The 25,481-nt window shown below is 39.0% G+C and overlaps 1 protein-coding gene across 2 annotated transcripts, besides 1 other annotated feature; it reads right to left on the reverse strand.

Moving 5' to 3' along the window:
* Positions 268-23,995, reverse strand: GGH (gamma-glutamyl hydrolase). 2 transcript variants are annotated; one of them, NM_003878.3, is made up of 9 exons: positions 23,849-23,995; positions 20,845-20,959; positions 15,356-15,406; positions 12,370-12,454; positions 11,347-11,485; positions 9,269-9,375; positions 9,096-9,186; positions 2,682-2,819; positions 268-642 (listed from the first exon to the last, which is right to left on the reverse strand). In NM_003878.3, the coding sequence occupies exons 1-9, from the start codon at positions 23,955-23,957 to the stop codon at positions 521-523; spliced, it is 957 nt and encodes a 318-aa protein (NP_003869.1). In that variant the 5' UTR covers positions 23,958-23,995; the 3' UTR covers positions 268-520. The 2 variants fall into 2 exon arrangements, with proteins under 2 accessions (NP_003869.1, NP_001397855.1); NM_001410926.1 differs by lacking the exons at positions 268-642; positions 2,682-2,819 and adding an exon at positions 8,697-8,928.
* Positions 24,029-24,388: a silencer, noted in NCBI's record as "silent region_19240". NCBI's record gives its function as "represses an Ori minimal core promoter by ATAC-STARR-seq in GM12878 lymphoblastoid cells {active_cell/tissue: GM12878}" and the evidence as "EXISTENCE:reporter gene assay evidence [ECO:0000049][PMID:35858748]".

Here is a 25,481-nt window from a genome sequence, read left to right on the forward strand (position 1 = left end):
TGTGTACGCTTTAAATATGAAGTTAACACAGGGCAGAAAAGTAGATACACACATGCACACACATACCTATACACACATACCTACACACACACACACACACACACACACACACAAATACTCCTCAGACCCAAAGGACGGAGACATCACAATGAACAAGATGAACAATTGGTAGGATTTTAAAAGACTATTTTCTTTTTCAGCAAGGAGGATGGAGTGGGCAGGTAGGGGATGGTATTTATTTCCCAAGCAAATCAATTAGAAAAAATATTTGTATTTCAGTAAATTTATTTTTTTCAATCTTCAGATATAAGAAGGCTTTTCCATGAAAAACACTCTATTTATGTCTCACTATTTAATTATCTAATGTTATATAAATAGTCACATACAGAATGAAGAATCAGAGCCAGGCACATTATAGAAAAGAATCTGTGACTTCCTAATCTTGCCATGAGTAGCAAGTTATTCTAACAGTTTAATCATGGAATTATTCAAATTTGCTCTGTTAACAAATTGAAGACTTTCAATCAAATATGTAACATTGCTGAAATGAAGAAATATTTCCAGTATAAATTGGACTGAACTGATAAATCAATGCTTTCTCCTCTTCAGATTCAGATTTAAAATGATGGTTGTTTTTCCGAGCTGCAAGAAAAAAAGTTAATTTTTAAAAAGATCAGATGACAAAATCTTCAAGAGACTATTTTATAATATTTCTTCCTGCAATCAGCATTATTAAGTGGGAAAATATCAACAAGAAGAGAAATGCGACTGCTCTTCCTATAGAACAGCCATCTTTTTTTTTCTTTACTTCTCTAACAAACTTACTTTCCAAAAAAAAAAAAAGAAGAAGAAGAAGGAACCAAGGAAGGGAGGGAGGCAAATGCTTGACAAAATTTCCCCAAATAAAGCAGTGCCCGATTTATGGCACAGTCGCGCATGGCCACAGCAGCTGTGCTGTACTCCCCCTGCAGCATATCCCATGCTATGCTCACTCCGCAACTCATTCAAATACCTACCTATCAAATACACAAGACTTGATAACACAGCCTGGGGATGGAAATATAAACAGAACAGGTCCTAACACTCAAAAAGCTCAGCCTCGTAACCACACAGAATCATATGATAAAAATGTTTTTATGGTATATGGTGTATCATCACTGGATGCTACAAGAGTAAAAAAGATGGAGAAACTGGTGAAGCTGAGGCAGACAGAGAAGTGAGACATTTTCACTGGTAAGGCAGCATTATGAAAAACCAGGAGGCACAGTGAGAAGTTTGGCATGATGAAAGCTGGAATGTGAGGAGGTGAGAGCTCCTAAAGCTCCCAAAGTCAAAGTAAATACAGGCTCTTACGGCATTTTCAGAAAGAATGTTGGAAGATAAAAGACCACATAGACCAAATGCCACATGACTACTACTGCAGCAAATGCGGCACTGCCACTGCTGCCCTCATTCACTCCACGCACTCATGAAAATGTTCCTTTGGACTAATACTGTATATGGGATACTTTTTTTTTTTAATTTGGAGTTTTTGTCATAAAACCATCCACTCAGCTCTGCATGATTCTAAAGCAGAGTGAACTCAGTAGGAAGTACTTGACTTCCCAGCAATGGCAGGAGAGTTGATAAAAACTTAGGGCAAGCTTGGAGATGGAATGAAAGCAAAGTTCACTTAAGTCTTTAAATGGCTATACCTCACCAAAGTGATCTCTACCGTTTACAAGTTGTTTTTGTACCTCTGTCTTACACAGCTAGTCTTCACTTAACGTCATCGATAGGTTCTTGTAGTACTTTTAAGCACAACGATGTATAACAAAACCAATTTTTTTCTAACAATGTTATAATGAAACGACTTCAAAGTAAACAGTGTTGTTCAAGGACCTGCTACACACAGTTCTGCTTAAATCGTAGGACTTACTGTACCTATAATGCTCAACTAAGAAATAGGCATCTACAACCAAATTCTCGATTTTTCCCACAAACATAACACAGCATGAATATGTCTGTGTTTTCATCACCAAACAGCAGGCAGAGTTTATTTGCTTTCTCCAGTATGCCAATGCCTACAGAGAGGTAGCCTTAAAATCACAAACTGGTGGGTATATATTCAATTTGTATCACTGTCTTGGAAAAGTAACACCTAATTCTCAGACACTGTTAGAATTAAAGCATTATTCTAAGAAATGGAGAGTAATGGGGAAGAATCTAAATTAAAAGTATCCAAGAAGAAAGAGCTTGGTGTGGTAGTCTGCACCTGTAGTCCCAGCTACTCAGGATGCCGAGGCAGGAGGATCCCCTGAGCCCAGGAGTTTGAGGCTGCAATAAGCTATGATCACATCACTGCATTTCAGCCTGGGCGACAGAGCAAGATCCTGTCAAAAAACAAATAACAAAGAAAAAGAAACCAAAAAAAAAACTCTCAACATTCTTCACACTGTTGTTCAAGAATTCTGCCCACTGAAGCATGTATGATAATTGAAGTAACTGTCCTGGTTTTATTAGAATACCTTACATCTTGATTTTAGGGCTTTCACATTATTTAACATTTGTATTATTCTTTAAAGTTAAACCTATAGAACTTACAAAACATTTATAGAGCAAAAGGGTAGGCAAAAGTTCAGATAAGGGCAATTTTCTTCAAAACTACCCCAGAATAACAAAATTATGTACCCTCATATTACCTTCATTAACAAAAAACTCTGCTAAATAAAATGCGGTTTTCACAGCATTAGGTGCATGGGAAATGCCATCCAAATTCTTCCACTCATAAGGTGCTTTCTCTGGATGCCACTGGACACCATATACTGGATACTTATATCCTGTAAGAAGAACACAAATTAGTAAGTACTAAGAATGGTTTAAAATGTTACTTATAATGAAATTGGTTTATTTCTTATGTAAAACATTTTATAATTCACCTTATCAGACAAGGTAAAATTGTACATATTCTCTCAGACACAAAATAATTTCCATTCATAATCAATGTGAAAATTCCCTGTAACGTATTTCACTGATTAGCAACCTTTTACAATCTGTAGGACGATTTGCTTTTCGAGATACTCATAGCAAAGTAGAAGCTGAGCTGAGGAATCTATCCCTGTCCAAAAGTCAGATGCACATTTTATTGGTGATACAAGTTTCTTCCGCAGTGGGTCTCTTTCTCCCGTCTTGTAGCATGCTTTCCTGTCCTCCCATAATGACTTATTCATATGAGAATGAAGTATGGCAGCACTTCTGGTATCCTTTTACACCCTGCCTAAACTGCCTAAACTGTGTCTCTCTCTCAGTCTATGGAATGACTGATGACTTTGTGGTATAAATTTTTAAAATATTTTTTAGAAGTTTAAAAGCAGACATAAAACAAGAAGGGAAACAGAGCTGTTGACAATTGTCAAAGCTGATAGATAGACACCCAGGGTTCATATTACTCTCTCTATGTTTACATACTCATGAACAATTCCACAATTCAAAAAAAAAGTGAATATGTGTAATAGTTACCTTCAGAAAAATGTACATATTTGTCTCTTCTTCAGATGTGCCTTTCCTCATTTTGATTTAAAAAAAACAAATCTCCCCTCTATTATTTTCTGCTTTGGAATTGTAACCATGACCACCATCAGAAAGTACTTGGAGAAATGAAGTGAATTAATGAAAGAAGAGATATCTAGGGGTAAGAGCACTGTCTGTTCTCATCCCAGTAAGCTTTCTGACTAGAGAGCAGGCCACAGAAGGGAAACATTTTATCCCAGTTTTGTGGGTATTCACGAGAGGAAACACCTGCCTCATGCAGCTCCAGGCACTCAGCTCCCTGCCTCCCCCACTTCCGTGTGACACTGCCGTTTTTCCCCTCTATTCTGGGACTACCTGTGAAGCTACCAGCAAGAGACCCACAGGCTGGGGGACTAGGAAATTGTTACATAGAGTTAATTGAAAGGCAGACCTTCTAGTATATTGGATATAAATCTTTTTTATGATTTAAGACTATTTTTGTCCTCAATAATGCTTCATGCGTTGGAAAAGATACATATATATAAGAAATCTTCAAAAAGCTCATGGAAAACGTGTATTATGAAAAAAATTATGCAAGGATTTCACCATTTTTTTGCACCAAAATAAACTTGTAGTAACTTGTATGAACAGGATCCAGTATGAGGCACTAAGAAGGACAAGACATCAGTTTTAAAAGAACCCCTGTAACAGCAATATGAATTTTGCTAAAATTGAAGGCAGAAAAAATAGCAAATTTACGGTGAAGCTTGGATGGAAGAATGGTAAAACCGCTGATGCTTTACAAAAAATTTATGGGGATAATGTCCCAAAGAAATCAGCAGTTTACAAATGGATAACTTGTTTCAAGAAGGAATGAAACAATGTTGAAGCCCTCAGGGCAGACTATTCACATCAATTTGCCAGGAAAATATGTATCTTGTTCGTGTCTTAACTGAAGAAGATCGCAAATAAACAGCAGAACCAACAGCCAATACCACAGACATCTCAGTTGGGTCAGCTTACACAATCCTGACTGAAAAATTAAAGTTGAGCAAACTTTCCATTCGATCGGTGACAAAACCATTGCACACAGATCAGCTGCAGACAAGAGAAGAGCTTTCAATGGACATTTTTAACAGGTGGGATCAAGATCCTAGAGCATTACTTTGAAGAACTGCCACTGCAGATAAAACACGGTTTTACCAGTATGAACCTGAAAACACAATCAAAGCAATGGCTACCAAGAGATGGAAGTGGTCCAGTCAAAGCCAAAGTGAACTGGTCAAGGGCACAGGTCATAATGTTTTTTTGGATGCTCCAAGGCATTTTGCTTGTTGATTTTCTGGAGAACCAAAGAACAGTAACGTTTGCTTTTTATGTGTTTTCAGAAAGTCAGCCAAAGCTTTAGCAGAAAATCGCCCAAGAAAGCTTCACCAGAGTCCTTCTCCAGCATGACAATGTTCCTCCTCATTCCTTTCATCCGAGGGCTATTTAGTGAGCATTTTGATGGGAAGCCATTAGGACCTTATGGTCCTGATTTGGCTCCTTCTGACTTATTCTTGTTTCCTAATCTTAAAAAAATCTTTAAAGGGCACTCATTTCTGTTAATAATGTAAAAGACCGCATTTGACGTGGTTCAATTCACAGGACCCTCAGTTCTTTAGGGATGAACTAAAAGGTTGGTATCATCATGGGCAAAAGTGTCTTAAACTTGATAGAGCTTATTTTGAGAAATAAAGTTTACAGTTTTTATTTTTATATTTTAATTCCATTTTTCCCACAAACTTTTTGAAGTCACTGACATTCAGTAACGAGTGAGATTTACTCTTCTTTAGTAAACTGCATTACTAAAAGACCAGTGCAGTTTCCTGAAAACTAGGAATCATGCCCTGCCTCACTGATTTAGACAGAAGTATCAAGAGTGGAAAGAAAATATGCAAATAATAAAGCATCTCAAGTGTTCCTATTTTGGAGGTGGGAGAAAATTTTCAAATGAGCCTGGTATGGCATAGTCAAAAGCAGAACCAACATGGAACCTGATTTCCTAACTTCCAATCCAATATTCTATCATTTAAATAATTAGGCATTCATTCAACATCTATGAGCCCTAGAAACACAAAGGAGAGTAAGATACAGTTCCTGATCTCAACAAGCTTTTCATCTAGAGGGATGACAGAACAAGAGCAAATACATGCATTAAGAAACGTTCCCACACAGCACAAAGCACCAAGGTTGTGGAGAAGAGGAATAATGGTAGAAAAGGCCTCTAGGGATGACAAGTGGCCTGGGTTTTTCGAGATGGCTAAGAGTTCATCAGGAGAAAGGAATAGGGGAAAGGGGGAGCTTTTCAGAGAAGAGGAAAGCACATGAGAAGCAGTGCAGAGGCAAGAAGCATGGCTCTGTGGAGGGACTGTGTGTAGCAAACAGGTCGTGCAGGGTACAAGCTAGAGGTGAAGGCAGGGAGAGGGCATGAGGAAATAAGCTCATAAATCTAGACTTCATCCTCCAATGCAGAGGAGCCACTGAGGAGTTTTGTTCAGGCAATACTATCAGACTGGCACTTCAGCAGACCACGAGTGGGTGGCTGGAAGATGGGTTTGTGGAAGCCTTAAGAGGCTGCTGCTGCAGCAATCCAGGTGGCAGGTGGTTAATGCTGATGTAGCAAGGTACATCGGATTGGGAGGACGAAACATGATTAATACTTCCAAAGCCCTTCTACTGTCCCTCCCACCCCTTCAGCCCAGTGAGAAGGACTCTCATAATTATTCATCACCCCAACCTTTCCTTAGATTTACCACCGAACATTGTTTCTTTTTTGCCAAATTTTAATCATCATATAAATGAAAACATACAGCATGTATTCCCTTGTGACTTGCTTCTTTAACTCAAAATTGTCTTCATGATTCATTCAGTGGTACATGCAGGTGTGTTCACTGATTTTAATAGCTGTATAGTATTACTTATCCTTTGCACTACTGGACTTTTGAGTTGTTTTCCATTTTTTTGCTGGTATGAACAAAATGTCACGTACATTTCTATCTACATGAAATTATTTCATTAAGATATTTTTTAACCAATGAATAAAACTGCCAGGTAACAAAACTGGAAAATGTTTGATTTTACTAAGAAATGCCAAAATGTTTTCCAATCGTAAGTGCATGACAGCACCTGCTGTGCGACATCCTGGGTAACACTAGTTATCAGCAGGCTTCTTAATTTCGCCAATCTGATGGGTATAAATGGTTTTTTACTTTGGTTTCCATTTGCATTCCCTGATCAGAAATTACACTGAGCAACTTATCTCACCAAGCCATAAGTGGACAGGACAATCAAGTTTTTTTGGATGGTATCCATTCAAATCTCATATCCTTTTTTTTTTTTTTTTTTTTTTTGAGGCAGAGTCTCGCTCTGTCACCCAGGCTGGAGTGCAGTGTGCAATCTCAGCTCACTGAAACCTCCGCCCACTAGGTTCAAGCAATTCTCCTGCCTCAGCCTCCCAAGTAGCTGGGATTACAGGCGTGCGCCACCACGCCTGGCTAATTTTTATATTTTTAGTAGAGACGGGGTTTCGCCATGTTGGCCAGGCTGGTCTCAAACTCCTGACCTCAAGAAATCTGCCTGCCTTGGTCTCTGAAAGTGCTGGGATTACAGGCGTGAGCCACCATGCCCAGACCTCATATCCATTTTTAATAAGCTATCTTTTCTTCTTAAATCACAGCTTTACTTTATATAAGCTAGACACATATCCTTTGTCAGTTATATGCATTACAAATACCTCCCTTTTTTCTTCTCTGTGTAATTTTTTTTTTACGAACACAACTTCTTCATTTGATTGAATTCATCAATCTTTTCCTTTATGGTTTGTTTATATTTTGTCTTCAAAACTCCTTCCCTCAAACAAGATCATAAAGACATTCTCCTTTATTTTTTCTAAAACCTTATTGTAGTGTGCCTTTCTCCTTAGGTCTTTTATCCACCTGAAAATTTTTTTTTTAATATGGAAAAAAGAGTCTGTCTCTGTCCTACTTTTTCCCATTCCTTCTAGAGTTCTGGTTAGGTAAGTTAGAAATCACTTTACCCTCCAGATTCCAACCTTTCTTCTGACACATTTGGCATTTACATTTACATGTCTGGGTATGTTGGATTCTGAATGTTTCCTTCACATCTATCTTCTATTCTAGTTCATTAATTTCTCCTCAACTGTGTCTAACCTGATTAACATGTCTACTGAGGGTTTTATTTCAATTATAATTTCTTCTTTTTTTTTTGAAACAGAGTAAGTCTTACTCTGTCGTCCAGGCTGGAGTGCAGTGGCACAATCTCGACTCATTGCAACTCCAAGTAGCTGGGACTACAGGCACATGCCACCATGCCCAGCTTTTTTTTTTTTTCTTTTTTTGTATTTTCAGTAGAGATGGGGTTTCACCATGTTGGCCAGGCTGGTCTTGAACTTCTGACCTCAGGTGATCCGCCCCGGCCTCCCAAAGTGCTGGGATTACAGGCATGAGCCACCACACCTGGCCTCAATTATAATTTCTAATAGCTGAATTTGGTTATTTTCAAATCTGATTGTTTCATGCCTATATTTTCAAGCATTTTTCTTTCTTTAAAACTTAAAATATATTATACTTTATCTCATAATACTAATATCTAACATTTGTGCAGGTCTGCTTCCACATCTGTTATCTCTGCAAGTTCTCATTCACAGTGCTTGCTTGTGCATTAGTAGTATTTTGGCTGTGAAGCACTCATTTTCCTTCAAACTTCATATGTTGAAATTCCTTGAAGCCTGGGATGAATGTCTGGTCCTCTCAAAAAAACTATTTACATTTGCTTCAGCCTCACACATGAGAGCATTACCAGTCTAAGGCAACCTTGAACAAAATTACTTACTTAAGATTTGTCCAACTTCCCAGTTAGTATAATGCTGGCCACACTAGGAGAACAGCCCATCATTATAAACACTCAAGGCTTTATTCACTGTCCCCCACCCCACTCCCTTAGCCCCAAAGCTCAGGATGGGCAATTCTCCTTGCCATTCTGTAGGGGGGATTTTAGGTGTATTTTGAGTTCACCCTTACATTGCTGGTATAGCCATCCAGGTCCCGCTCCATGAGATACTATTCGTATAGAGAGTCCTGACTTTGTCTCAAGTTCTCCTGATTCCATAATAACACTGGTTTAAATATTCCACTCAACTCTTAAAATTTTGGACCTGAGTATCTTTATTTCTTTGCCAATTCATCAACGTATTTACTATGTTTTTCTCTATCACCCACATTTATTTTGTTGTTGGCTGGAGGAAAGTCTGTCAAGGTATTTAATCTGCAATATTGCTAGAAACAGAAGTCATTTTCTTCATTTCTTTCTTCATCCTTGCCCCCTTTATTCTTTTACTTTTCTTCTTCACCACCCCATTCAGGAAAATACCCAGGAAAACTGCAATTAATTTGAAACATGGACAAAACATGTCTCCTGTCTCCCAAAATGCCCTAACACCCCTCTTCAAGCCCCAAAGTAATATGATTTTATTGATGAGACATATAAAATCAAAATTTAAAAATATAAAATAAGTGAAATAAAGTATACATGTTATAGTGATATACCTTCCATTGTTGAAATAAACTCAATCTTGCCATCTGTATTTGTAGTTAAGACATTGAAAAACTTCTTTAACTTTTCATTCATTGTAAAATTCTAGAATACGAAAATAAAACAAAATGATTACTTCTGCAGTTATTCTAAACATATTAATTTCATTGTGTAATTAGTGTGATACCTTCACGGAGAGGCTCCACTTATGGAAATTGGCAGTCAGAGGTTCTACTGCTAATGACAGCAACAACTCAGTAGGAAAATTCTGGAACATTCTGCTGTGCAATTGACCTGAAATAATTTAAGTACAAGAGAAATAATTTAAACACAAAAAAATAAAATCCACTGAAGTCACTTACTGCACCCAAAGAGAAGCCATTATGAAGACATAATCAAGATGACCAAATGATATGCAAAACACATCATTTCCATAGAAGTATTCCAATCAAGTCACAAAATGTGTTTAACATAAACTCAAATATGCTCCAGCTATAAGTAATCTTCTTCTAGAATTTTAACATGAATAAGTAAAATTCTTCCGATATGAGTATTGGCAAGCTAAAGAACAGGCAGGGAATCTTAACTAGATTTCCACAGACTATTCTGAAAAACAGTTAAAACTTTCCATGGGTGTATGTATTTGCCCAGGAAAGTATCCAAAACTTTCAAATATAACATATTTTCAGAGGTATCTGGGACAAACAAATAAAAATACAAACAATGTAGAAAAGAACATGAACCAAGCCAAGAAATTTTGACTCAGTAAACAGATCAAAAAGCAATATATCTTAGTGGTCAACCCTGAAGGTTCTGCACAGACTCAAACACCAACAAACAGATTTTGAAAAAAAAGAAACTGACGTTTTCAAGGCGATAGTGCCAGCTGTTTCAAACCAGGCCCCTTATTCTTACTAGAGACTTCCATGAAAACCACAGCACCTTGAAACATTCCTTTTCTGTATAAACTGAGTTCTGGCAACACACAACCAAAGTACTCTGACCTAATACATGTACTTCCCACCAGGTTTTTGCAATTATTAAGTGAGACAATGGAAGAAAGAGCTTTCAAAAGCACAAAGCATTCTACAAGTTTTAAGTATGACTGCTACCTTCCTTGCAAAATCCCTATGAGAACAGAAATAGCTGGTGGCTTCAATTCTAAGCATTCGGAGATCAAGTAACCCACAATAATCATTATCTATTTATACAGAGTGATATCACTAAGAATCTATCTGGTCTTTGTCCTGGGTTCCTGACAGGAAGCTTCTAAAACCCTTGGAATTCCCGGAATGATATAAGTATTTTTGTTATGCTAATGTGGTAATTCAAGGTGGGTCCCTCAATTATTTCAGGATGAAGACTAATCATCAGAAAAACTAACTTCATGATTAGAAAGTTGAAACTTCGAGCCAGCCCAATCAATCTCCAAGTATGAAAGAGGGGCTGGAGATTGAGTTCAATCACACAGGCAAAGATTCAATCAATTATTTCATAATAACGTTCCAGTAAAAACTCTAGACACCAAAACTCACTGGAGTTCCTGGTTGCTGAGTAAATATAGCGCTTCCCGGTAGATCATCTAATCCCAGCACTTTGGAAGGCCAAGGTGGGTGGATCACCTGAGGTCAGGAGTTTGAGACCAGCCTGGCCAATATGGTGAAACCTTGTCCCTACTAAAAATACAAAATTCAGCCAGGTGTGGTAGGGTGCCTGTAGTCCCAGCTACTCAGGGGGCTGAGGCAGGAGAATCCCTTGAACCCTGGAGGTAGAGGTTGCAGTGAGCCGAGATTGCGTCACTGCGCTCCAGACTGAGTGACAGAGAGAGACTCTGTCTTAAAAAGAAAAAAAAAAATCTTATTTAATATTCACAAAAAAAACCCCTAAGCGTTATTAGACCTTTTTGCAAATGCAGACATTGAACCTCAGAGAGGTAAAATGGTTCCTCAAGGTAAAAGTGACAAAGCTAGGAGTCAAAACCAGATCCCATTTCAGAGTTCTTCATCACACACAGTCCTGATATCACTAGAAGCAATGAGTTATTAAAATTCACAATTCCTTAAGTCATCCTCATAAATGAGTACAAGGATGGTCATTCACATCTTCAACCTGTGTAAATAATTTAAATGCTAATGTCATAAGCATTTTTTCCTTCAGGGAAAAGGCTAAAAAGAAAATAAAAATAAGCACTTTTACTTTCATATTTGCTACTTACTAATCCTGCCCAGCAAATATTTTTCAAAGGGTTGAAAAGAGTACTCTTACCTCCAGTGAAGTTCAGCGGCATTGCCACGTCAACAGTATCTGTGGCAGTTAATAAGCACTCTCCACTAATCAGCAGTGAAAGCTCTTCAAATCCAAGGCATGTGCCCCACACAGGAAAATAGTCTCCATCATCAAAACTCTTTGCAAGTGGAAAAAGAGAAAACTAAGTTTATTCAAACTTTTCAAAATAAAAATTAGCCATATCTTTTGTCATAACCAAATAGGCACCTGAGTTACACATGGATTTCTGAAGAATTCTCCAGGATCCATAAGTAGGCTATCACTTAATCTCTCTTCAGACCAAGCTCCCACACAGGCTGGAAAACATGAGCTGTGGACACACTGTATATCTTGACCCAAAGACTATAAAAGCCTATAGATTACTGACCTTAGCTATTAAAAGTTTGAAACAAGTATTTCAAAGGCTAAAAACAGTTATTTAGGGAAATGTGTAAGGGGGATTGGTAAGATTCTAGGGCCAGCAAGATTAATTTAAAAATCACTGTTAATAGTTGAGGAGAGAAACAGCAAAGGTTTGAGCTATGGTACAAAGGCAGTCCCACTGTGAACATTACAAAGGAGAAGTCAGAGGCTCAGAAGCTCTGCTTGACATGGAGTCTATGGTAACTGTGAAGAAAGTTCCAATAGGATTGAATGAGTTGGGAAGAAGAACAGATTTCAAGAAGAGGTGAGAATTAATAACATAGAAACAATGCCCATAAAAAAAAAATAGGACAGAGAGAGACATCAGAATGTCTACACTACATGAGGACACGGTTCACATTAACAAGCATCAAGAGAGGGGCAGTCAGCAGTGCTCTGAAGGGTCTCTGGAAGCCCAGGATTAGATGAAGCACATGGAAAATAGGCGGGAGCAGCCAAGAACAGGCACCTCAAAATTAAAGGTATGATGAGGCTAAGGGTAATTTTGAAGGGAGCATTACCATCTGCTTAAAAAATGAACCACTCGCACAAAAACTTACAGAAACCCATCTGGAATAATAAGCAATAACTGATATTTACCTGTATGGACAAGTTATAAAATATTTTGGCCACTTTAGCATAATCTGAGCGTCTGAGGTCAACACTTCCTCCAGGGAAAAGGATTCTGAAACAACGTTACATAAATCAAATAGGGTGTATTTTGCCACCCCCGACCCATACACACACAGAAAACAATCTTTTTATTTTAAAACAATTTTTCTTATTACATATGCAATAAGATCCTTGAAGAAAATTAGAAAAGTAAAGAAAAAAGAAAATATAAAATATTTACAATCCCATTCAGAAACTACAGCAGTTAACAACACTTTAGTGCATATTTTCCAAAAACTTCTTCAAAAAATTTATTTAATGAAATAGAGTGTGGGAAAATTAAAAGTAAATAAGTAGGGGAGGGGCAAGAGTACACAGAGCTAGACATCAAAGACAGACAAAATTCCAGGTATAGCCAGGTTTAAATGAAGGTGATCTGTGATGCCAAATCAATTGCAGGTCCATAATTATGGGTAGGTTTTAGCTCACAAATAATTTAACTATAAAGAACAAGCTGGTCATAAAAATATATTTAAGCTAGAATTAAATTTCTACAAGAATTTAATTCTTATCACCCCGAGTCTCTTCAGAAACACGCACAGTATTAGAACATTTTTTTCAAGAAACATAATTACGATTCTAGAAAAAGCCTAGGAAAAGAAGGCAGTCAAAAATATTTGATATTATTTTACACACTTATAAAGGTGAAATATAGAAAAATATTTTACCATGTTTTTATATCAACTTTTAAAATTAAACTTTAAATTTAAAATTTATAGCAAGGTCTTGAAAGAACCAAGGATATTCAAAAGAGGTAAGAAAAATGGTATTAATCATATTAAAATTTTGAAAATATTTAAATACGAGCTTGAGATATGTGAAATATCACTTGTGTGATTGTTGTTATTCAAGAAATATATTCTGTTTCTTCCATGAGCTAGACTCGACTTGCCTGGAGAGACAAACATGAGTGGCTTTTGCTGTTAGGAAGATCACAGTCTGGTAGAAAACATATAAGCATCTGTGTGGGAGAATATCTACCACAAATCCAAGCAGAAAATCCAACAATTAAAAGTGGCTTAGTGAAGACTCATTAGCATTCTCTCTTTCCATTAACTCAGTATTTTTTTTTAATTTTTATGTTTTGCATCCCAGGTCTCCAGCTTACAGACATTAACTTAGTATTTAAAAAGCTGCCTATGACCAAATACGGTATGTCTAACCCCAAACTCCTTTCATGCAGCAAAACCTGACTGTCCCTCCTATATGACAAACTCCTTAAAGCATGGCTCTGTCTTTTCATCTCTGCATTCCCCTGCAAAATACTATGGGGTCCACTGCATAACAGTGACTCAATAAAGGTGCTTTTGAAGTCACATTAGAATACGGCTCATTTTCTGGTGACACTCAGAGATATAAATAAGGCCCCTAATTTAACCCACTTTGGAGTGCAGCTTTCAGTGACTACATGAGAGAGAAAAGGGGCCTACAGGAGCAACAATTAGTGGCAATGCAGAAAACGAGTGAGGAAGATAGAAAATGGACTCCTTTTGCTGGTTTGCATGAAGACATACTGAGCATCTGGACAGGCTAGCTCCCCAAAGTATGTATTCCTGTCTACACTGCTACTTGATTCAGATTCCTCTCCAAACAGGAATGCAACTGGGGAGAGGGTGGGAAGAAAATGAAGTGTTTCAAAAGGTCTATTTTTGAGGTTCTACTATTATATTCTAGCCTAGACTTAATGATCTTTGTCCATGCCAAAGTACCTTGCACACAGCACATACTGGGCATTGTAAATGTTTTACTAAATTGAACTGATTTTATGGTAAATATTTACTGAACCAAACTGAACTGAAGGCAAATAATTTTCTAAACATAGCTTTTTAAAAGAAACAATAAATTAACATGGTTTTAGAAGTAAAAATAATAAAGCTCTTTTAAAAAAACATTTTACAGTAAAATACTTCCACCCTATTCCCAATCAGAAACAACTGCCATTAAAATCTGCTGTGTTGATTTGGTAGAAATATGCATATCTCTTCACCCCCACCTTTAACAAAAAGCAAACGGGGTGTATGCTATACACACCATCACGTGCCTTGCCTTTTTCACATAACACTATCACATTGTTCATAGGACAATGGTGATCTAAGTCAGCATCTACAGATAGCCGCATTTTTTAATTCCTGCATAGTATTCTATTGAATGTACATAGTCTGTTTTATTTAACCAATTCTCACCTGATGGATTACGGGGTGACTGTCAGACAATACTACTAATACAATGCATAGATTTGAGTCTAAGTCTTCATGCAAGGTGGGAATATATTTATAAAATAAAATTCCTCCTCAAGTTCCCAGGTCAAAGGGTATACGTGTTTCTAATTTCAATAGGTATTGCAATATTACCCCAAAAAAGACTACCTGATTTACATTCCCTCTAATAAAGTATGAGCACACTTGTTTCCTCACAGGCCCCATAGAGTATAAGCAAATTTTCTGATCTCTGCCAACATGGTAATTAAATGTTTTTGATTGCTGTAATTAGCCTTCTTTCCTAAAATTAAGAGTAATGGTGAATATTTTTTCCCAATTTACCTGAAAAAAAAAATCAACATCCTCAGACTTTGGACTTATAAACCCCATATGCAAGCAGTATGCCACGCCATTCAAGGTAGCTTCAAAACATTTAAGACAAGCATTAAAAGAACAAAGATTAAGTCACACATTTAAAAAAATTATGTGTGTCTACTATGTAACAATTATACATTTCCTAACCTGCCTCTTCCTCTTTTGAAGGACTTTTGCATCTCCCAAGAAAATAAATCCTATAAAAGAACTCAGAACACTAATACTATACCACTCTAAGACAGTTACATAGAAACATGTATAATATTTATATGATTTCTTTTACAAAAGCAGACATATGTAGACCACTCATATACCGTATGAAACCAATGCTGCCAACTTACCCATTAATAGATTTGAAAAGTATTTCATAGTCTTTCTCTGTAAGATCCAGCCTGAAAACAATAAAAGTTATTGTTACATTTGTGAAACTTAGAAGTAAACCTCTAAATGAAGTCTCCACATTTACTTTTAAAAAGCCAAATAAAAACAAATTTTTAATTACTAGACAATATTACCTCTCTACTTTTCTAGAGGCATTTTTGCAAACCACTTGAAAGCCACATCATTCTATCCTTGTTTTGCTAATCAGACAAGTAAATATGTTTTTCTGTGATCTAATGCAATTTAATATTGTGAAGTATGTGTTAGTATGCAAAAACAGTAAAGACCGTGAGATTTGGCCACCAGTAATTTCTCTACTAACCAAGAACTACAAAAAGAAATGTAAGAATATTCAGTAGTTTTATGTAAAGACTCCTTTAAATAACTTTATTTATCATGCCTATTTAACTACAGGAAGCTCTGGCAGATTAAAAAATGCATAAATAAATGCCAAGTCGCTGCCTGATCCCACCCCAACAAACTAGTTGCAACAGTCTAGGGACTACTCTGCATTTCAAAGTCAGGATGGTTCACATCTAGTCTGAACTGAGGACCACAGAGAGATGACTGTAGAACAGCCTAACTGCCCAGGTAATTACTCTGAAAGACCCTTGATCAAACACCCCTTAAGGGCCTCCTAACAATCGCCATGTTATTGGTGACTTTATTCCCTTTCTCCAGAAAAAAAAGATGGGCTTAATCTGTGACATATGGTGACAACATTTACTAAGTCACAGATATCTGCTCTCCCGAAAGTTCAATAAAATGCAACAATAAGGGAAGAGAGCACCAAGTTAGTGAAATCCTTGCAAGAACTCTCCCACATTTAGCAGCCTTCTGTTTCTGTGACAGAATAAATGGTACCTGTCCTCTCAACCTGCCCTAAAAGAAGTAGACTTATGATTAGATGTCAACTAGTCCATTTCTGCCCTCAAAGAAGTTTTAGGGGGAGGTAAAGTCCCTCACACCCATTATTAACTAGACACCTGTGATATCCAGAACACAGGCTGTGTTTTGCCAGCAAACAACTCTGGGATCTACTCTAAGTCCAAACAAGCTTTGCAAGTCCAGGTCTCTCACAAGTTCATAGTAATCTCTTCCTGGCGAGAGCCACAAAGCAATGGGTGATACCAGAATGGTGCTTACCATTCTTAAGTGGAGAAAATACTGACAGGTAGCCCTGCCTTGGGAAGTGATAGGGAGGTGAAATATCAATATACATGTACCCAGTATTCTGCCAGTCTAATCTCCCCAGATTGTGGCAACAAAAAGGAACCAGCCAGTCAGGACCCAGAATTCTCCCCATGGATATTTAAACCAAAATGGGCAACCATCGCCATCAGGGACCAAAATGGATTTAGATCACACAGCTGCACTCCAAGGATTCCTGCCAGCTAGCGGTGCAAGCTAGTTTCAGTCATTTCATTAATTCTAAATAAATGGCTCCCACACTGTCCATGACTATAGTTTTGGTCCCCATTTATCTCTATTAAGAGACCTAATTGTCACAGGGGAAGGAGTGTGCCATGTCACAACTCTGGTGCCTAGGGGCCCTGGCAGAGAATACAGCTGTTAGTTGCATGTTGTCAGACATTTTTTGAAACAAAAGTCCCTTTCAACAAGGTATGAGGAACAGTTTACTCTCTCCTTAACTGTAACGAAATGGCTTAAGCCTGGTGATGATGGCAAATGACACACAGCTTTAGCAGCATGAAAAGGATGGTAAGGCATTGTTGCCAATGGGGAGTGTTTGCCCCATTTAAAACTCAATCTAGATAACTGTCTTCAAAAGAAACAAAAATTCAGACTCTTATAAAGTTTGATTTGTGGTCTTTGGGGTTTTTTTGAGAAAGGTCTGGCTCTGTCACCCAGGCTGGAGTGCAGTAGCGCCATCTCAGCTCACTGTAACCTCCACCTCCTGGGCTCAAGTGATCCTCCCACCTCAGCCTCCTGAGTAGCTGGGCCCATAGGTGCACGCCACCACTCCCAGCTCATTTTTTAAAAATTTTTTATAGATAGGGGTTTTTCCATGTTGCCCAAGCTGGTCTCAAACTCATGAACTTAAGCGATCTTCCCACCTCAGCCTCCCAAAGTGCTGGGATAATAGACGTGAGCCACCGCGCCCAGCCTGATTCATGTTTTAAAACGCTGTGTGAACAAAACACGTTTTTAAACCAAAAGCAGCAGTCCATGGGCTCCTGTATGCTACCTCTGAGGAAGCAGGACATTCTCTTTTCCACTAGTCCCACATTGGGCATTTATGACAACCTGAGAGCACCAAGCGCCTGAGACAGAAGGGGCAGAAAGAAGGCAGAAGGAAACCAAAGACAAATTTCTGCATCTATTTCAGAATGCTTCCCAGGTCTCCCATCTCTTCCTTTTCACTTCTAAACCACAGAAGTTGACTCCCAGCATCCAAAATTCAGAAATGAACCTAACATCATCATGATCCAGTCTTATTTTGCATCAGGTAATCCTTCACAGGCTAGTCTATGAACTCACCCCATATGTATTACACTGTTTCTACAAGATCACATGATTCCAATATACCTTAAGTGAACTCTGAGAACCCAATTTGGAAATAAACCTGTATGCTGACAGTCGTGTTCTCAGCATCTCTCATAAATACCAATATTCTGCAAAGTCATCCACTTTCAAAACTCCCATGATTTCAAAACTTCCATCATCCTTATATATTTCTTCCTCCCTGTGCCCTTTTATTAGTCATCATGTACTGGTGATTTTTTTAAACAACACTTACCTATCATTCCCACACCACCAGTGTAAGCCAAGCCCTCAACACTTCACACCTAGACTACTGCAACTACCTCTAAACTGGTCTACCTGCCTTTAGGCATTTTGTTTTATTTTTTTAAAGACTTTATTTTTTAGAGTAATTTCAGGTTCACAGCAAAATTAAGAGAAGGTTAAGTATTTCCTTTATAACCCCTGCCCCAAAACATGTATAGCTTCCTCCATTAACATCTTGGGTGGTACACTGTAACAGTTGATAAAAATACACTGACACATCATAATTGCCCAAGACCTAGTTTACACTGGGGTTCATTCTTGGAATTGTACTGTCTTCAATTTTTTGGATGAGTTTGAGAAGGACTGGTATCAATTCTGCTTTAGATGTTTGGTAGAATTCACCAGTGAAGCCAGCTGGTCTTGGGCTTTTCTGTGTTGAGAGGCTCTTGATTACCATTTCAATCTCTCCACCAGTGACAGGTTTGTTACCTATTTCTTTATGATTCAGTCTTGGTAGACTGTGTGTTTCTAACAATTTATTCATTTCTTCTAGGTTACACATGTTGTTGGCATATAGTTTAAGTAGTCTTTTATGAACCTTTTTATTTCTGTAGCATTAGTTGTAATGTCTCCTCTTTCAGTTATGATTTTACTTCATTTATTTTTTATAATTTTAACTTTTATTTTAGATTCAGAGGGTACATGTGCAGATTTGCTACATGGGTATATTGTGTGATGCTGAGGTTTGGGGTACAAATGATCCTGTCACCCAGGTAGTGAGCACAGTATCCAATAGGTAGTTTTTCAGCCCTTATTGCCCTCCTCCTCTAGTAGCCGCCAGCATCTATTGCTGCCATCTTTGGGTCCATGTGTACCCAATGTTTAGCTCCCACTTATAAGTGAGAATATGTGGTATTTGGTTTTCTGTTTCTGCATTAATTCACTTGGGCCTCCAGCTGCATTCACATTGCAGCAAAGGATATGATTTCATTCTTTTTTATGGCTGCTCTGCCTTTTGTCTCTCCTTATATATATATATATATGTCTCTCCTTATATATATATATAATATATATAAAAATATATATATATTTTTATATATATCTCCCATCCACACGGTCAGCACTAACATCCCAGAAGAACAGCTTGCATTAAAAAGTTTCCCTGATGAAAACTTTGAAACACTGTTCTGAAGACTCTCTGGAGCCTCTTCCTCAGCTCTAAAACTCTGGCGTTATATGGGCTTCAAATAAAATTTCGTTTGAAAAATTAGATAGGCTACTAAAATATTAAAGACTAATATCAAAAGCAAATGGCAATCTTGGTGTAGAAACAGTTAATTTAAATGTAAAAGATCATACAAGAAGACAATTCTTATAAATCTAAACCTAAAGCCATTTTGTGGTACAATTCTCTAAATTGTAATATTTGCATTTTATTAGTAGTATTATATTTGAACAGTATTTTTGTTATAATTTTTGATGAGGAATTGTTTGCAAAAACAGGCTGTACAGAATAAATAGTGTTTTATGTGTGAAATCACTCAAAATGGATTAGATGAGGTGCTCAAAGATTCTAAAATACATTAATTTTAGCTGACAAGACATTACAAATCCTTATAAGATTCTGGTTGTTAGCTCCTTCCAGATGAAAAATATGGGAAGAATTCAGTTCTAAATGAAAATGAGATGAATCATTTTATTCTTATAGGAACATTTTATCACAAAAATAATGCAGTGCCTTTAAAACTGCAATACCTATAATCCACACTGAAGCAACCCTAATGCACTGGTAATTTACAAACTTTTAAAGTAGAGTGTGAAGGTATTTTAAAAGTCATCTTCTAAAAACCTCCTTCATTCCCTAACTGTTCTCTTATCCTAATATTATAGAACAAAGCTGGTTAAATTGTAGATTCATTAAAATTTTTTTCTTATTTCAATAGCCTTTGGGGTAAAAATGGTTTTTGGTTACATGCATGAACTGTATAGTGATGAAGTCTGAGATTTCAATGAACCAGCCACCCGAGCAATGTACACTGTACCCAATATGTAATTTTTTATCCCTCACCCCGCCCCCCCAACCACTTTAGATTATTTTACTCCATTACCTTCATAGTGTCTGTGAGAACCACCTTTTCTGGGATAAAGGAAACTATCATTTCATTCTTGATGTTAATGCATATGACATATGGTACCTCTAATGACGTTACAGGTAACACACAGCTTCCCACATTAAACAATTCAATGAGAGACTCTAAGCAACATGTTTGTGTCAAAAATCAGGTGCAATGTTACTGCATTTAAACAATGTAATCATAAGAGAGAAAGCACGAATTTTAGAGATATTAGGCAGTAATTATTATTTTGAGATGGAGTCTCGATCTGTTGCCCAAACTGGAGTGCAGTGGTGCGATCTCAACTCACTGCAACCTCCACCTCCCTGGTTCAAGCGATTCTCCTGCCTCAGCCTCCCCAGTAGCTGGGATTACAGGAGTGCACTACTGCACCCAGCTAATTTTTGTATTTTTAGTAGAGACAGGGCTTCACCAGGTTGGCCTGGCTGGTCTCGAACTCCTGACCTCAGTAGTCCACCCGCCTTGGCCTCCCAAAGTGCTAGAATTACAGGCATGAGGCACCGCACCCGTACGCAGCAATTTTTTATACAGAGTAAAAAAAAAAAAAAAACACTGAATCATACCTTACTGGTACAACTCTCGCACCTGCAGACTCCAAGTACTTTACATAGGACGCAGCAATATAGTATCTTCCATAGTTTTTCATGACTTTATTACGGCATTTTTGCATTAATATTCCTAATAACAAAAAAAAGTTTAGTTTCAAGCAAATTCCTTTTCTTCTTGCTCAGAAACTGAAATATATCACAGCAAAAATATCATATTTTATTATTTCAATCCACAGAATTAAATAGGAAGTCTCTCCTCCAAGTCCACCCATAGCCTATGGGAAAGCAGCAGGGGAGGCTGATCTTACTTTCAAGTAGATCTATCTCTCACCTCATTAGGGAGGCCAAATAAGCCCCCAAAGAAGGCTTACAATAGCACTTGCAGCCTTCACACAACTGTAGACCTAGAATCCATCTAAAGAATATAGATCCTTAAATTTACAAGGCTGTCACTCCTTTCCCACACATACTCACAGACACACTGATTCCCTGACAACGAAGCAAAGGAGTGAAAACATCTTCCATCCACACCTCTCCAACATTACCTTAGCCCAAGCTATCAATATCTACCCTCTCCCCACCACACTATCATAATAGACTCTTAGAAGGTCTTGTTATATCTTTTCTTAAGAAACCCCCCCAAGCTCCAAGCAGCTCCCCATGTAGAAGCAAATCGGATCATATCACCATTCCTATTCCTACAGTCATTCAATATATACTGTTGAATCATACCTCATGCCAGGCAACAAACTAGCTGCTGGGGACACATGACTATGAGTGAACCAAACAAAAGCCCCTGCCCTGTGTGCATTAATTCGAGGGTGTAGCAGGGAGGGGAAAGAGGACAAACAATAAACAAGACAAAAAGGCATAATATATAGAGTGATGGCTGGTCGTAAGCACTAAGGAGAGAAAGACGGTGGGGAAGGAGAGCCCATCTATGTAGGAAAGGACAGTCTCTTCAACACGGTGGCCAGGCAAGTCCTCCCTGAGAAGGTAAAACATGACATTTGAGCCAGGACTTCAGAGAGGTGACAGAGTAAACCACATTCATATATCTGGGAAAAGAGCAATCCAGGACAAAGGAATAGCAAGTGCAAAGGCCAGGAGTCAGATTTGTGCCTGTCACGTTGCAAGGAATCCATATTATTAGAGCCAGGTGAGTGAAAGCAGAAAGCAATAGGAAAGGACATCAGGTAGCGATAGATCAGCAAGCAGGTGTCACCACTTTGTTTAACTACCTCAGTGGGTCCCTAAACTTTAATAAACTCTGTAAGACCCGTATGCTCTGCCCCACCCATCTCTCTGGCCTCCTTTTACCAGTGAAACCCAGCCCCAGCAGAGTATAGCAACCAGTATACATCAAAACACGTCTGTCGGGTGAGTACCTGTGCCTACTCCTATTCAGCACTTCAGCATTTGGAACACTTTCAGTGTCTCTGTAGGCCACCTGATAGGAAGAGCTGTTGTCTGTATTACTCACTTTTGTATTCCCAGCTTCTTACAATTGGCATTCATCAGGTATTCAGATTAACATGTCAAACGCCAAAATTTGTTCAGTAAAACTTTTTCTCCTTACTGGTAGGTAAGATCATCTTCACTAAGGAATAACAAAGTTTGGCTAGGGAACGAAGAACTAGGAGTGTCATAGGAAATGGAGTGGTACAGGGTACATGGGGTGAGGTACCACAAAGGAGACATGGGGCATCATGGGAGCACAAGGGTACCAGAAAGAGAAGTACATCAGAGTGAGTTCCACCAACATCTCCCCTTCCCCTGGGCCCACGCATATTCACTTTTCCCATCCCTGGGAAAAGAGCTCAAGCTGTTCTCCCTGTCCCTCAAAATATGACCAAAATTCCACCAATAATTTAAGGCCATCTCACAACTTTTGTGGCTTGTCATCTTTCAATCCTTTGCACTTCCCAGAGCAAGATTGTGTACATAGTCGGTACTCAGTTAACGATGTTGTGCTGATCTCAGTGACCAAAAGCAAAGTCCCTTTTTTAAATATTTGACGCAGGGCTACCCCTGATTCTAGGAAAGGGGAAGAATCCCCTCTGCTTTTTTTTCTCTTCTCTGGACACACAATATGCAACCTGTTACATTAATTACAGCTTGAGTTAATTCGTGGAGAATCAAATCACCATGTTAAACAGCTATGAAATAAGTTCCAAATATTAGTAAGCAACCCATTTGAAAACTGGGCACTACCTATATGAAAAAACATTCATCTACTTTCTGTTTAGTTACAGAATACAGTGATAATATTCATAGAAAAAAATAGTATGAAAGGCATAATCCTACAGCCAAAATAAAACTAATCTTAATGTCCACACACAAATTTCTTTGGGCAAATTTTAACCCCAGGATGATTTCTCCTAGGTAGCTTTCCTTGGGCCTGTCTCAAATGTGTGTTTTGGTAACACAGACTGATTTTACTACCTCTTTAAAACACAAATATGTTGGAAACGAAAAATTGTGGGCTGCATTTTAACACCAAATAGAACTCACATTAGGATATCAGCCACTGTTGTCCTCTGCTACTGAACATGACAAAATCCAAGTTATACCTTAATTTCTTGATTTTCTATTACAATGCACTGGTATTTTAAATACGCCATCAATACATTTTGATGAATGCAATGCATGTACAGAATTTGTAGATGTAAATGAGTAAAACTTCCCAACTATGTGCGAAAAGGAAATGTTTTATTTTAGTAGAAATTCCTAGCTGTGTACAAAAAAAGAAAATCCGCAGGATTCTTCATGGTGCACCCTCCTCCCTCCCACCTTTAAGAGTCATATGAGTCTAAAGGAATGAACGAGGTACCTCAACCAGGTACATTTCAGTACGACCTAAATGGTGCCCAGCCCGGGTTCCTCCTTGCACCAAAAGCGAAGCACATCTGGGGGTTTTTCCCGGCGGGACGCGCCAGCTGGAGCGCGGCGGCGGGAGGCGCCCAGCGCCAACACCCAGCTCCTCCCCGTCTGCTGCGGCCCCGCACAGCCTCCTTACCGATGATGGGCTTCTTGGCGGTGTCGCCGTGGGGTCTAGACAGCTCGAGGCTCGCCGCCCCGCAGAGTAGCAGGCCCAGCACGCACAGCAGGCAGCCCGGACTGGCCATGGCGCTCGCCGCCTCCCGCCGCCTTTCAAAAGCTCTGCGGGCGGGCGGGGGCTGCGGCAGGGACACCTCGCGGCAGCGCACTCGCGTGAGACTCGGGTGGGCGGTGCTCCGCAGCGTGGGCCTATGGGAAATGCAGTCCCGGCGCGCGCTAGGCGGCCGTGGGGCGGCGGTGGGAGGCTCTGGGAGTGCAGCCGGCGCTGCGCGCCCGCCCCATTGCTCTGTCCCCGGTCCGCGACCGCGACCGCGACCCCGACCCCCACGGGCCGCCTAAGCGGAGACTCTGGAAACGCCTGGGGCGGGTACCGGGTGGTCTCCGCGTCCTTCCCTTTCAACTGTTACGTCGATGTGGACTTCAGTCACCCGTACAAAGCTGGGCTGGCCAACCCAGGTCCTCGAGAGGGGAGGTTGGGTGTCCCCGGCCGAGTTTGGTAACCAGGCAGCGGGGAGGCTGGCAGGGGATTCTAGAAGGCGCCTGAGAACTGCGCGCCAACCGCACCGCCCCCTTGAAGGTCGGGGCCCTATCTCCGGGAATGGTGACAACGTTCGCTGTACGGACAGCCTGTGCCCCTGAATGTGAATGTCCACACTTGCTATTTGGGGGGTCGCGGCATCTGTAGGAAGTGAAGACGGGACGGCGATAGGAACACACGCACAGGCGCATCACTAGGGTCAGAACTGGGCCAACTCCGGGCGTCTACTTTGAAGCGGGCACGCCCAGGCCACGCCTGCAAACGGCGTCAGCTTCCTCTGATCAACCGCGGTCAGCGCCATCCACCGACCACCACTAAGCCTATCCACCGGGGCAGAAAAGATGACTGGTTCCTATTCGTTAAAACTGTTGATTGTTCCTAAATACATGGATATATAGCTTGTACTCAGTGAAAGTTTCCATCTATAAGGGCCAACTGAAATTCAGCATAAAACAAGAATATTTGAAAACCTGCTACATCAATGCTCAGTATTAAGGGTGAAAACGTAAATTGGACAGTCTTTTTCACAAGAGGTTTAAATTCAGTAAGGAAAAAAGGCAGAAAGCGTGACTCGTAGAGACAACAGGAACAATTTTAGCATGTTGCAAGAAGAGTAAATGCAGTGAATAGTCTGGTTTAACAAGAAAATAACGCTTCTGTAGAAGGGTGTGGTGAGAGGTAAGCAACAAAGGATGTGATGAAAGACATGAAAGGGCCGAGCTGGTTTTGAGCATGATTAAATAGACAAGTAGCCTTGTAAATATGAACTTGTGGTGCCAGAATAATTGACTATCCACATAGGAAAAATTTTTTACCCGGCGTTACACACAAAAATAAACTCGAGGTGAAGTGCATATGTAAATACGAAAGCAAAATATTATACTTTGATAAGAAAATATATAAATATATCTTCCTAACTTAGGCTGTTGGAAGAGTTTCATAAAACATTAAAAATAAAAATGTTAATTAAAAATTGACTATATAAGAAAATTAAAGTTAAAGCACAAACTTGGAAAATATAGTTATAAAATATAAAGTATTTCTAAAATATGCG

The sequence above is a fragment of the Homo sapiens genome, chromosome 8, assembly GCF_000001405.40.
Source record: "Homo sapiens chromosome 8, GRCh38.p14 Primary Assembly".
NCBI lineage: Eukaryota > Metazoa > Chordata > Mammalia > Primates > Hominidae > Homo > Homo sapiens.

Bases quoted from the DNA above. Each gene is read 5' to 3' on its own strand.
- GGH (NM_003878.3), bottom strand. From the start codon at position 23,957: ATGGCCAGTCCGGGCTGCCTGCTGTGCGTGCTGGGCCTGCTACTCTGC. The intron at 20,960-23,848 runs GTAAGGAGGCTG...TTTTGTTATTAG, and splicing joins CGCCAAGAAGCCCATCATCG to GAATATTAATGCAAAAATGC. The intron at 9,376-11,346 runs GTAAGAGTACTC...AAATTATTTCAG, and splicing joins GCCGCTGAACTTCACTGGAG to GTCAATTGCACAGCAGAATG.